This window comes from Homo sapiens, chromosome 21 (genome assembly GCF_000001405.40).
Source record: "Homo sapiens chromosome 21, GRCh38.p14 Primary Assembly".
NCBI classification, from domain to species: Eukaryota; Metazoa; Chordata; class Mammalia; order Primates; family Hominidae; genus Homo; species Homo sapiens.
Window position 1 is genome coordinate 10,696,601 of NC_000021.9, and position 14,711 is coordinate 10,711,311.

At 43.1% G+C, this 14,711-nt stretch overlaps 5 annotated features.

Moving 5' to 3' along the window:
* Nucleotides 5,319-5,868: an enhancer, noted in NCBI's record as "OCT4-NANOG hESC enhancer chr21:10809989-10810538 (GRCh37/hg19 assembly coordinates)". NCBI's record gives its function as "activates a minimal SCP1, AML or CMV promoter by ChIP-STARR-seq in naive H9 embryonic stem cells {active_cell/tissue: H9 hESC(naive)}" and the evidence as "EXISTENCE:reporter gene assay evidence [ECO:0000049][PMID:30033119]".
* Nucleotides 7,921-8,881: an enhancer, noted in NCBI's record as "OCT4-NANOG hESC enhancer chr21:10806976-10807936 (GRCh37/hg19 assembly coordinates)". NCBI's record gives its function as "activates a minimal SCP1, AML or CMV promoter by ChIP-STARR-seq in naive and primed H9 embryonic stem cells {active_cell/tissue: H9 hESC(naive and primed)}" and the evidence as "EXISTENCE:reporter gene assay evidence [ECO:0000049][PMID:30033119]".
* Nucleotides 8,882-9,843: an enhancer, noted in NCBI's record as "OCT4-NANOG hESC enhancer chr21:10806014-10806975 (GRCh37/hg19 assembly coordinates)". NCBI's record gives its function as "activates a minimal SCP1, AML or CMV promoter by ChIP-STARR-seq in naive and primed H9 embryonic stem cells {active_cell/tissue: H9 hESC(naive and primed)}" and the evidence as "EXISTENCE:reporter gene assay evidence [ECO:0000049][PMID:30033119]".
* Nucleotides 10,027-10,590: an enhancer, noted in NCBI's record as "OCT4-NANOG hESC enhancer chr21:10805267-10805830 (GRCh37/hg19 assembly coordinates)". NCBI's record gives its function as "activates a minimal SCP1, AML or CMV promoter by ChIP-STARR-seq in primed H9 embryonic stem cells {active_cell/tissue: H9 hESC(primed)}" and the evidence as "EXISTENCE:reporter gene assay evidence [ECO:0000049][PMID:30033119]".
* Nucleotides 10,591-11,156: an enhancer, noted in NCBI's record as "OCT4-NANOG hESC enhancer chr21:10804701-10805266 (GRCh37/hg19 assembly coordinates)". NCBI's record gives its function as "activates a minimal SCP1, AML or CMV promoter by ChIP-STARR-seq in naive H9 embryonic stem cells {active_cell/tissue: H9 hESC(naive)}" and the evidence as "EXISTENCE:reporter gene assay evidence [ECO:0000049][PMID:30033119]".

Below are 14,711 nucleotides of genomic sequence, written 5' to 3' on the forward strand. Positions count from 1 at the left end.
TCCAGTTCATTCTATTCTATTACAGTCCACTCCATTCCATTCCATTAGGTTCCAGTGCATTCCATTCCATTCGAGTCTTTTCCACTCCATTTGAATCCATTGCATTTCATTTGATATGAGTCCAATCCATTCCATTCCATTCAAGTACATTCCATTCCATTCCATTCCATTCCATTCCATTCGAGTCCAGTCCATTCCATTCCATTCCTTTCGGGTCCATTCCATTCGAGTCCATTCCTTTCCAGTCCATTCCACTCGAGTCCATTCCTTTCCATTCCATATTCCATTCCACTCTACTCCATTCCATATTCCATTCCACTCGAGTTGATTCCATTCCATTCCACTCCCTTCAAGGGGATTCCTTCCAATTAGAGTCCATTCCATTCCATTCCATTCGAGTACATTCCATTCCAATCCTTTTGAATCCATTCAATTCAATTGAATTCCCTTCAAATCCGTTCGAATTCATTCCTTTACATTCCATTCTATTCGAGTCCATTTCATTCCATTCCATTCCATTCCATTCCATTCAGGTCCACTTCATTCCATTACATTCCTTTCCATTCGAGTCCATTCAATTCCATTCCATTCCATAAGAATCCATTCCATTCCATTCCATTCGACTCCATTCCATTCCATTCCATTAGAGTCCGTTCTGTTCTATTCCATTTGAGACCACTGCATTTCATTGCATTCCATTCCATTCCAGTCCATTCCTTTCGGGTCAGCTCAATTCAACTGCATTCCATTTCTGTCCATTCCATTGCATTCCATTGCATTCCATTCCATTCCAATCCATCCCATTCCATTCCGTTCCACTCCATACCTTTCGAGTCCATTCCATTCCATTCCATTCGAGTACATTTCATTCAATTACTTTCCATTCCATTGGAGTTCATTCCACTCCATTACATTAAATTCCATTCAAGTCCATTCAATGCCATTCCATTTCATATGAGTCCATTCTACTCCATTCCGTTCAAGCCAATTCCATTCCATTCGATTCCATTCCATTCCATTTTATTCAAGTCCATTCCATTCCGTGCTATTCCATTTGAGTCCACTCCATACCATTCCATTCGAGTCCATTCCATTCAAACCCATTCCAATCAAGCCCATTCTATTCCATTCCATTATTTTCCATTCCATTCCATTCCATTCCATTTGAGCCCAATCCATTCCATTGCATTCAATTCAACTCCATTCCATTCGGGTCCATTCCCTTCAATTCCATTCGAGTCAAATCCATTCCATTCCTTCGAGTCCATTCCATTGCATTCCATTCCATTCGAGTCCATTCCGTTCCATTCTGTTGGATTCCATTCCATTGTATTCCATCCAACTCCTTTCGAGTCCATTCCATTCCATTCCATTCTAGTCCATTTCATTCCATTCCATTCGAGTCTATTCCATTCAAGTCCATTCCATTCCATTCTATTAGTGTCCATTCCATTAAAATTCCATTTTATTGCATTTGAGTTCATTGCATTCCAATCCATTCCATTCGTGTCCATTTCATTCCATTCAAGTCCATTCCATTGCATTTCATTCGAATCCATTCCGTTCCATTCTATTGCATTCAAGACCATTCCATTGCATTCCATTGGAGTCAATTCCATTAAATTCCAATTTATTCCACTCGAGTCCATTCCATTCCATTCCATTCGATTCCTGGCCTTTCCATTCCATTGGATTCCATTCCATTCCATTCCTTTTGAATTCCTTCCATTCCATCCCACTCTATTCCATTCATGTCCATTCCAATCCATAGCATTCCATTCCATTCCATTCAATTCCATTCCATTTCATTCAATTCCATTCTATTCCATTCCATTCCATTCGGTTCCATTCCCTTTCATTCCATTTGAGTGCATTCCATTCCATTCCACTCCATTCGGGTCCATTCCATTCCATCCCTTTCGAGACCATTCCATTCCATTCCATTCCATTCGAGCCCATTCCATTCCATTCCATACGAGTCCATTCCATAACATTATATTCCATTCGATTCGAGTCCACTAAATTCCTTTCCATTCCATTCGAGTCCTTTCCACTCCATTACATTCGAGTCCATTCCATTCCATTCTATTCGAGTCCATTCCTTTATATTCCATTCGAGTCAATTCCATTCCATTCCATTCCGTTCGAGTGCATTCCATTCCATTCCATTCCACTCCATTCCTATCCATTGAGTCCATTCCTTTCCATTACATTCCTTTCGAGTGCTTTTGATTCTATTACATTTCATTCGGGTAGATTTCATTCCATTCCTTTCGAGTCCATTCAATTAAATTCCATTCCATTCGAGTCCATGCCACTCCATTCCATACGAGTCCATTCCATTCTTCTCCATTCCATTCGAGTCCATTGCATTCTATTCAATTCGAGTCCATTCTTTTCCATTCCATTCGAGTCCATTCGATTCCATTATATTCCATTTGAGTTCATTCCATTCAATTGCGTTCCACTCGAATCCAATCCATTCCATTGGAGTCCACTCCATTCCATTCCATTCTGTTCCATTTGAGTCCATTCCATTCCATTTCATTCGTGTCTATTCCATTCCAAACCGTTCCATTCGAATCCATTCCGTTCCATTCCATTCCATTCGAGTCCATTCCTTTCAATACCATTCCATTCGAGTCTATACGTTTCCATTCCATACTACTCGAGTACATTCCATTCCATTCCTTTCCTTTCAGGTCCATACCATTCAATTCCATTCGAGTCAAATCCATTCCATTCCATTCGATTCCATTCCTTTGCATTCCATTCCATCCCTTTCGAGACCATTCAATTCCATTCCATTCCATTCGAGCCCATTCCATTCCATTCCATTCGAGTCCATTCCATAGCATTCCTTTCCATTCGAGTACATTCCATTCTATTCCATTAGATTCCATTCCATTCCATTCCACTGGACTCCAATCCATTAGAATCCATTCCATTAAATTGCGTTCCTTTCCATTCGAGTTCATTCCATTCCATTTTAGTCCATTCAATTCCACTCCATTGGAGTCCATTCCATTCCATTCTATTCTATTCAAATCCAATCAATTCCATTCCATTCCATTACAGTCCATTCCGTTCAGTTCCAGTCCATTCCATTCCATTCCATTCGAGTCTTTTCTATTCCTTTTGAGTACATTGCATTCCAATCCATTCAAGTCCATTCCATTCCATTCCATTCGAGTCCATTCTGTTCAATTCCTTTCGATTCCATTTGAGTCCATTCCATTCCATTCTATTACTTTTGGGTCCATTCCATTCCAATCCATTGGTGTCCATTCCATTCCAGTCCTGTCCATTCGATCCCACTCCATTTATTCCACTCCATTCCATTCCATTCCATTCCACGCGATTCCATTCCATTTGAATCAATTCCTTTTGAGTCCATTTCGTTCCTGTTCATTCCATTCCATTTCAGTCCACTCCACTCCTTTCCACTCAAATCCACTCCACTCCACTCCACTCCGTTCCATTGCATTCCACACCAGTCCCCTCCTCTCCACTCCACTCCACTGTGTTCGATTCTATTCCTTGCCATTCTCTTTCATTCCACTCTGTTCCATTCCACTACCCACCACTCCATTCATTTCTGTTGCACCCCATTCCATTCCACTCCAATCCACTGCACTCCACTCCACATCATCACATTCCATTCAATTCCATTCGATGCTATTTGATTTCATTCCATTCAATTCCATTCCATTCAATTCCATGGCATTCGATTCCATTCCTTTTGATTCAATTCCATTCCATTCCAATTTATTCGAGTCCATTCTGTTCCAGTGCATTCCATTGGAGATCATTGCATTCGCGCCCACTCCATTCCACTCCATTCCATTTGAGTCCATTCCATTCTAGTCCATTCCATTGCACTCCATTCCTTTACATTGCATTCCATTCCACTCCATTCCATTTCATTCCACTCCACTCCATACCACTCCCCTCCTCTCCTTTCCATTCCACTCCATTCCACTCCTTTCCACTCCACTCCACTCAATTCAATTCCACCCCACTCCACTCCACTCCAATCCGTTACATTCCTTTCCATTCCTCTCCATTCTGCTCATCTCGTATCCACTCAACTGCACTCCACTCCACTTGAGTCCATTCCATTCCACTCAACACCATTTCTCTCCTCTCCACTCCACTCCACTCCACTCCACCCTATTCCATTGCATTCCTCTCCACTCCACTCCAGTGCACTCTGTTCAATTCCATTCCTTCCCATTCCATTCAATTTCACTACATTCTACTGAACTCACTCCACTGCATTCAATTCCATTCCACCCCATTCCATTCCAATGCATTCCAAACCAATCCACTCCACTTCACCGCATTCCATTTGAATCCATTCGATGCCATTTGATTCCATTCCATTCGATTCCATTCCATTGGATTCCATTCCATGCGATTGTGTTCCATTCCATTCAATGCCATTCGATTCCTTTCCATTGGATTCCATTCCATGCGATTGTGTTCCATTCCATTCAATGCCATTCGATTCCATTCCATTGGATTCCATTCAATTGGATTCCATTCCACTCGATTCCGTTCCATTTGATTCCATTCGGGTCCATTCCATTCGAGTCCATTCAATTCCAATCCATTCCATTCCATTCCACTCCAGTCCACTCCACTTCCTTAACCGCATTCCACTCGATTCCATTCGATGCCATTCGTTTCCGTTCCATTGGATTCCGTTCCGTTGGCTACCATTCCATTCGATTCTACTCCATTCCATTCCGTTCCATTCGATTCCCTTCCATTCGGTACCATTCCGTTTGAGAACTTTCCATTTGAGTCCATTCCATTCCATTCCATTGCATTCCACTCCAGTCAACTCCACTGAACTCTACTCCCTACTATTTCATTCCTTCCCATTGCATTCCATTCCACTGCATTCCACTCCACTCCAGTCCATTCAAATTCATTCCACCGCATTCCTTTCCACTATATTCCTCTGCACTCCACTCCACTTCACCACATTCCATTTGATTCCATTCGAAGCCATTTTATTCCATTCCTTTTGATTACATTCAATTCGATTCCATTCCATTCGAGTCCATTCCATTGGAGTCCATTCCATTTGAGTACATTCCATTCCATTCCATTCCAATCCACTGGATTCTTTTCCATTACATTCCACTCCACTCCTCTCCACTCCATTCAATTTCATTCCTTCCCATTCCATTCCACTCCACTCCATTCCCCTCCACTCCACTCAATTCCACTTCATTCCACTCAAATCTACTCCATTCCATTCCATTCCAATCCACTCCACGCCAATCCACTCCATTACACTCCAGTCTATTCCATTTCATTCCATTGCATTACACTCCAGCCCACTCCACTGCACTCCATTCAATTCCATTCCTTCCCATTCCATTCCATTCCACTCTATTTCACCCCACTCCAATCCACTCCATTCAATTCCATTCCACCCCTTTCCATTCCACTACCTGCCACTCCAATCTTGTACAATCCACTCCATTCTATTCCATTCCTTCCAATTCCATTACATTTCACTCCATTCCACTCAACTTCACCCCACTTCACAGCATTCCATTCAATTCCATTCAATGCCATTGGATTCCATTCCATTCGATTGCATTCCATTTGATTGCATTCCATTTGATTCCATTTCATCCGATTCCATTCCATTCGATTCCATTCCTTTTGAATCCATTCTATCCGCGTCCATGCCAATCGACTCCATTCCATTCCAGTCCATTCCATTGCAGTCTGTTCCAATCCATTCCATTCCATTTCAAACCACTGCACTCCACTCCACTCCATGCCATTGCACTCAATTCTATTCCATTCGTTTCCGTTTCACTCCATTAAACTCCACTCCACTCCACTCCACACCACTTCACTCCATTCCACTGCATTCCACTCCATTCCAATTTGTAGCATTCCTTTCCATTCAATTCCGCAGCCTTCCATTCCACTTCACTGCACTCAACTTCTTTCCATTCCATTCCATTCCTCTCTACTCCACACCACTCCATTACAATTCCATTCCACTCCATTCCATTCCACTCCATTCCACTCCATCCACTCCACTTCACCGCAATCCTATCAATTCCATTCGATGCCAATCGATTCCGTGCCATTGTGTTCCGTGCCATTTTGTTCCATGCCATTCGATTCCACTCCATTCCATTCCTTTCAGTTCCATTCCATTGCATTCCACTATATTCCTTTCCATTCCACTCCATTCCATTCCATTCCATTCCATTCCATTGCACTCAACTCCACTGCACTCCATTGAACTCCATTCCACTCCGTTTCACTCCAGTCCACTCCACTCAATTCCGCTACATTACACTCCACTCCAATCCACTCCAGTACACTCCAATCCATGAAAATCCATTCCATTCCATTCCACTGAATTTCACTTTACTCTACTCCACTCCACTTAAGTGCATTTCATCCCACTCCACTCGAATCCACTCCAATCCATTCCACTCCACTCCACTCAATTCCATTCCACTCCATTCCATTCCATTCCATTCCATACCACTCCTTTCCACTCCACTCCACTGCACCGTATTCCATTTGATTCCAGTCGATGCCATTTGATTCCATTCCATTTGATTCCATTCCATTTGATTCCATTCCATTTGATTCCATTCCATTCGAGTCCATTCCATTCCAGTCCATTCCATTAGAGTCCATTCCATTTGAGTCCATTCCCTTCAAGTCAATTCCTTTCCATTCCTTTCCATTCCATTCCACACCATTCCATTTCATTTCACTGCATTCCTTTTCATTCCAATCCAATTCACTCCACTTCACTGCACACCACTCCTTTCAAATCCATTCCACTCCACTCCACTGCAATCCACTCCATTAAACTTCACGCAACTCCACTCTACTCCATTCCATTCCTTTAAATTCCACTCCATTCCTTTCCACTCCATTCTACTTCACTCCCCTCCAGTCCACTCAACTCCACTCCACTTGTGTGAATTCCCTTCCACTCCACTCAAATCCACTATATTCCACTCCATTCGAATCCACACCACTAAACTACATTCCACTCCATTCCTCTCCACTCAATTACTTTCCATTCCATTGCATTCCACTCCACTCCAATCCTCTCCACTCCATTCCATTCCATTGCATTCCATTGCTCTCCAATCTACTCCTCTCCACTCCATTCCATTCCAACCCATTCCATTCCACTCCATTCCACTCCACTCCACTTCACTGCACTCCATTTGATTCCATTCGATGCCATTTGATTAAATTCCATTCGATTCCATTCCATTCGATTCCATTCCACATGATTCCACTCCGTTTGATTCCATTCCATTCCATTCCATTCCATTCTTTTCCATTCGATTACTTTCCATTCCAGTACGTTGCATTCCATTCCATTCCGTTTCATTCCATTCCAATCCAATCCACTTTTCTCCACTCCACTCCATTGCATTCCATTTCAAGGCACTCCATTGCACTCCACTCCATTAAATTCCATTCCTTTTCATTCCATGCCATTCCACTCCTTTCCACTCCACTCTACTCCTTTCCATTCCATTCCGCACCATTCCATTGCACTCCTTTCCACTCCACTCCCCTCCAATTCACCGCATTCCTTTTGATTCCATCCGATGACATTCGATTCCTTTTCAATCGTATCCACTCCATTCCATTCCATTCCTTTCAATTCCATTCCAGTTGATTCCACTCCATTCTATAACATTTATTTCCATCCGATTCCTTTCCATTTGATTACATTCCATTCCAGTCCATTCCATGCCATTCCATTCCATTTCATTCCATTTCACCCTACTCCACTCCACTCCACTCCACTGCACTCCACTCCATTAAATTCCATTACTTCCCATTCAATTCCATTCCAATCAAATCCGCTCCACTCCATTCTATTCCTTTCCAAACCATTGTTTGCACTCCATTCAACTGCAATCCACTCCACTTCACCGCATTCCATTCAATTCCATTCACTGCCATTCGATTCTATTCCATTTGATTCCCTTACAATCGAGTCCATTCCATTCCAGTCCATTCCATTCCAGTTCATTCCATTCTAGTCCATTCCATTCCAGTTCATTCCATTCGAGTCCATTCCATTCAAGTCCATTCCATTCGTGTCCATTTGATTGCATTCCATTCCATTCCATTCCATTCCATTCCATTCCGTTCCATTCCAGTCCAGTCCTGTGAATTCCATTCCATGTTTTCCACTCCATTCCATTCCATTCCCTTCCCTTCCATTCCATTCCATTCCATTCCATTGCATTCCTTTTCACTAAACTCCACTCTGTTCCATCACATTCCTTCCCATTCCAATCCACTCCATTCCACTCGACTCCATTAATTTCAGTTCCACCCCATTCCATTCCACTCCATTCCACTCCACTCCATTCTGCTTCACCGCATTCCGTTCGATTCCATTAGATGCCATTCAATTACATTCCTTTCGATTCCTTTCCATTCCATTTCATTCCATTCCATTCAATTCCATTCCACTTCACTCCATTCCATTCCACTTCACTCCATTAAATTCCACTCCTCTCCACTGCATTCCACTCCATTCCACTCCATTGCATGCCACTCCATTCCATTCCATTCCATTCCATTCCACTCCATTCCATTCTGTTCCATTCCGTTCCACTCCGTTCCATTCCATTCCATTCCGTTCCATTCCGTTCCATTCCATTCCACTCCATTCCACTCCATTCCATTCCATTCCATTCCACTCCACTTCACTCCATTCCACTCCATTCCACTCCATTCCGTTCCATTCCATTCCATTCCACCACATTCCATCCCATTCCATTCCACTGCACTCCATTCAACTGCACTGTATTTCATTTGATTCCTGTCGATGCCATTTGATTCCATTCCATTCGATTCCACTCTATTCATGTCCCTTCCATTCCAGTCCATTCCATTCGAGTCCATTCCATTCGAGTCCATTCCATTAGAGTCCATTCCGTTTGAGTCCATTCCATTTCATTCCTTTCAGTTCCATTCCATTCCACTCCATTCCATTCCGTTGCCCTACACTCAATTCCATTCCACTCCACTCCATTTCACTTCATTCCACACCACTCCATTCCACTCCACTCCACTCCACTGCATTCCATTCCATTCAATTCCACTCCATTCTATTCCACTCCATTCCACTCCATTCCATTCAACTGCATCCCACTCCATTCAACTGCATTCCATTTCATTTGATTCCATTCCATTCCATTCCCTTCCACTCCACTCCATTCCTTTCAATTAATTTCTGTCCCATTCCATTCCTTCATATTCCATTCCATTTCATTCCATTCCACTCCTCTCCTCTCCACTCCATTCAACTCCATTCCACCCCATTCCATTCAACTCCATGCCACTCCACTGCCCTCCAGTGGACCACATTCCATTCGATTCCACTTGATGCTGTTCGATTCCATTCCATTCAATTCCACTCTATTCTATTTCATTCCATTCAACTCCATTCCATTCTATTCCATTGCGTTAAATTCCATTAAATTTTATTCTGTTGCATTCGAGTCAATTCCATTCGATTCTATTTCCTTCCATTCCATTCCATTCCTTTCCATTCCATTCCATTCCATTCCATTCTACTGCACTCCACTCCAATCCTCTGGACTCCACCCCATTCAATACCATTCCATTCCATTCCATTCCATCCCGTTTCATTAAATACCACTCCATTCCATTCCACTCCACTCCACTCCACTACAATCCACTCCATTCCTCTCAATTCCATTGCACTCCATGCCGTTCCACTCCACGACATTCCTTTCAATTAATTTCTGTCCAATTCCATTCATTCCCATTCCATTCCATTACATTCATTTCCACTCCGCTCCTCCCCATGCCATTCAACTCCATTCCACCCCGTTCCATTCCACTCCATTCCACTCCACTGCACTCCAGTGGACCACATTCCATTCGATTCCATTTGATGCCGTTCGATTCCATTCCATTCGATTCCACTCTATTCTATTCCATTCCATTCGATTCCATTGGATGACATTCGATTCCATTCCATTCGATTCCACTCTATTCTATTCCATTCCATTAGATTCCATTCCATTCAATTCCATTGCGTTCAATTCCAGTAATTTCTATTCCGTTTCGTTCGAGTCCATTCCATTCGAGTCTATTTCATTCTATTCCATTCCATTCCTTTCCATTCCATTCCATTCCATTCTACTGCACTGCACTCTAATCATCTGGACTCCACCCCATTTAATACCATTCCATTCCATCCTGTTTCTTTTAATACCACTAAATTCCATTCCACTCCACTCCACTCCACTCCACTACAATCCACTCCATTCCACTCCATTCCATTCCACTCCATGCCATTCCATTCCACTGCAATCCAATCCAAACCACTCCACTCCATTCCATTCCTTTCCTCTCCATTCCACTCCATTCCATTCCATTCCATTCCACTCCACTCCACTCCGTTCCATTCCATTCCAATCCATTCCATTCCGTTCCATTCCACTCCATTCAATTCCATTCCATTCCTCTCCATTCCCTAGCACTCCATTTCACTCCATGCAATTGCATTTCATTTCGTTTGATTCCATTCCAACCCATTCCCTTCTAGTCCTCTCCACTAAGTTCAATTCCTTTCTGTCCCATTCCATTCCTTCCCATTCCACTCCATTCCACTCCATTTCACCCTGCTCCTCTCCACTCCCTTCAATTCCATTCCACCCCATTCCATTCCACTCCATTCCACTCCTGTGCACTCCAGTGGACTGCATTCCGTTCAATTCCATTCATTGCCATTCGATTCCATTCCATTCGATTCCACTCCATTCCATTCCATTCCATTCCATTCCATTCCATTCCATTCCATTCCATTAGATTCCATTGCATTCAGTTCCATTAAATTCGATTCCGTTCCATTCGAGTCCATTCAATTCCATTTCATTCCATTCTATTCTGTTCCACTCCACTCCACTCCATTCACCTCCACTCTACTTCACTCCAATCCTTTCCATTCCATTCTTTTCCTTTTCATTCCATTCCATTCCACTCCATTCCATTCCATTCCAGTCTATTGCATTCCACTCCACTCCACTGCACTCCAATCCATTCCACTCAACTCCAATCCATTCCATTTCCTTTCATTCCACTCCACTCCACTCCACTCCGTTGAATTCCATTCCTTCCCATTCCATTCCACTCAATTCCTCTTCACTCCATTCAATTCCATTCCACCACAATCCTTTCTACTCCATTCCACTCCACACCTCCTCATTTCACCACATGCCTTTTGAATCCATTTGATGCCATTCGATTCTGCTCTCTTTGATTCCATTCCTTTCGATTCCATTCCTCTCTATTCCATTCCATTCGATTCCATACCATTAGATTCCTTTCCTTTCGAGTCCATTCCATTCCAGTCCATTTCATTCCAGCCCATTCCATTCGAGTCCATTCCATTCCATTCCATTCCACTACACTCCATTCGATTCCATTCCATTCCATTCACTTCCACTGCATTCCATTCCACACCACTCCAATTTACTGCACTCCACTGCACTAAATTCCATTCCATTCCTCTCCACCATATTCCATTCCACTGCATTCCATTCCACTCCATTCCTTTTTAACCCACTCAACTCCACTCCATTTCACTCCACTCCACTCCATTCCATTCCATTGCATTCCATTACACTCCATTCCTCTCCTCCCCACTCCACTCCACTCCATTCCACTCCACTCCACTCCATTCCATTCCATTGCATTCCATCCCACACCACTCAACTCCATTCCATTCCATTCCCTTCCATTCCATTCCACTCCAGTCCATTCCATTTCACACCATTCCATTCCACTACATTCCACTCCACTCCACTACACTATATTCTACTCCACTCCACTCCGTTCCATTCCACTCCACTCAATTCCACTACAATCCACTCCACTCCAGTCTACTCCATTCCATTCCATTCCATTGCATTCCTCTCAACTCCACTGCACTTCTCTGCATTCCTTTGGATTCCATTCTATGCCATTCCATTCCACTCCATTTCATTCCATTTCATTTGATCCCATTCTATTTATCCCATTCCATTCAATTCCATTCCATTCGATTCCTTTCCCCTCGACTCCAATCCATTCCTGTCCATTCCATTCCAGTCCGTTCCTTTCCATTGCATTCCATTCGAGTCCATTCCATTCCATTCCATTCTATTCCATTCCAATCCTTTCCATTCCATTTCATTCCACTCTACTCCACACCATTACATTCTATTCCTTTCCTTTCCATTCTATTCCACTCCCCTCCGCTCCTCTCCACTGAAGTCCTTTCTACTCCATTCCAATCCACTCCATTCCATTATGTTACATTCCATTGCATTCCACTCTTTTCCACTCCACTCCTCTTCACACCAATCCATTGCATTCCAAGGCACTCCACTCCATTCAATTCTATTCCTTCCCATTCATTTCCATTCCACTCCATTAAACTCCACTCCACTGCATTCCATTCCATTTCACCCCATTCCTTTCCACTCCATTTCACTCCACTCCACTCCACTTCACCGCATTCCATTCCCCTCAATTCGATGACATTCAATTCCACTCTATTCAATTGCATTTCATTCGATTCCATTCCATTCGATTCCATTGTATTCAAGTCCATTCCATTGGATTCCATTCCTTTCGAGTCCATTCCATTCGATTCGATTCCATTCCATTCCATATCATTACACCGCACTCCATCCCACTCCACTTCACTCCACTCTATTCCTCTTCAATCCATTCTATTCTATTCCACTCCATTCCACTCCACTCCATTCCACTTGAGTCCATTCCATTCCACTCCACTCCATTCCACTCAACTCCACTCCACTTGAGTCCCTTCCATTCCACTCCACTCCAATACACTCCACTCCACTCCTCTCCTTTTAATTCCATTCGTTGCCTTTACATTCCATTCCACTGCATTCCACACCACACCACTCCATTCAATTCCATTCCACCCCATTTCATTTCACTCCATTCCACTCCACTCCACTCCACTTCACCGCATTCCATTCAATTCCATTCGATGCCATTCAAATCCTTTCCATTCGACTCCATTCCATTTGATTTCATTCCATTCGATTCCATTCCATTCTTTTCCATTCTTTTCGATTCCATTCCATGCAATTCCATTCAATTCGAGTCCATTCCATTCAAGTTGATTCCTTTCCAGTCCATTCCATTCCATTCCAGTCCATTTCACTCCGTTCCACTCCACTGCACTCCATTTCACTAAACTCCACTCCACTCAACTTCACCACATTCCTTTCGTTTCCTTTTGATGCCATTCTATTCCTTTCCATTCGGTTCCACTCCATTCGATTCCATTCCATTTGATTCAATTCGATCTGATTCCAATCCATTCGATTCCATTCCATTAGATTTTATTCCATCCAAGTCCATTCCGTTCCAGTCCATTCCATTCGAGTCCATTCCATTGGATTCCATTCCATTCCATTTGAATCCATTCCATTCAATACCATTCCATTCCAGTCCATTGCATTCGTGTCCATTCCTTTCCATTCCATTCCATTCTGTTCCATTCCATTCCACTCAACTCCACTCAACTGCACTCCATTCCATTCCATTCCATTGCGTTCCACTCCATTCCACTGAATTGCATGCATTTAATTCCATTCCTTCCCATTCCATTCCACTCCACTCCACTCCATTCCACTCCACTCCACTCCACCTCATTCCACTCCACTCCACTCCACCCCATTCAAATCCCTTCCACCACATTCTATTCCAGTCCACTCCACTCCACTTCAGCGCATTATATTCAATTTCATTCGATGCCATTCGACTCCCTTTCATTCGATTACATTCCATTGAATTCCATTTCATTCTTTTCAATTCCATCCAATTCCATTTCATTTGACTCCATTCCACTCGAGTACATTCCATTCCAGTCCTTTCCATTTGATTCCGTTCTTTTCCCCTCCATTCAATTCCATTCCTTCCCATTCCACTCCACTTGACTCCAATATGCTCCACAACACTCCACTCCATCCTATTCCATTCCATTCTATTCCACTCCCCTGCACTTCACTCCACTCCATTCCTTTCCATTGCACTCCACCCCATTCCACTGCACTCCACAACGTTCAACCCCATTCCATTCAACTCCACTCCACTCCATTCCAATCCAGTCCACTCCTCTGCATTCCATAACACTCTATTGCATTCCACTCTACTCCACTCCATTTCACTGCACTCCACTCCACTCTATCGTTTTACACTCCACTCCATTCAATTCCCTCCCTTCCCATTCCAATTAATTCCACTCTATTCCAGTCCACTCCACTCCACTCCGTTCAATTCCATTCCCCCCATTCATTTCCAATCTATTCCTTTCCACTCCACTTCACTGCATTCCATTTGATTCAAGGCGAATCCATTCGATTCCATTCCACTCAATTCCATTCCATTCGATTCCATTCCATTTGATTCCATTCCATTTGAGTCCATTCCATTCCAGTCCATTCGATTCGATTCCATACCTTTTCACTGCATTCTATTCCTGTCATTTCCATTTCAGTCCATTTCATTCGACTCCATTAGATTCGATTCCACTCCATTCCATTCCATTGCATTCCATGCCACTCCATTCCACTCCATTCCATTCCATTCCGTTTTCTTCCATTATTATACCCTCAACT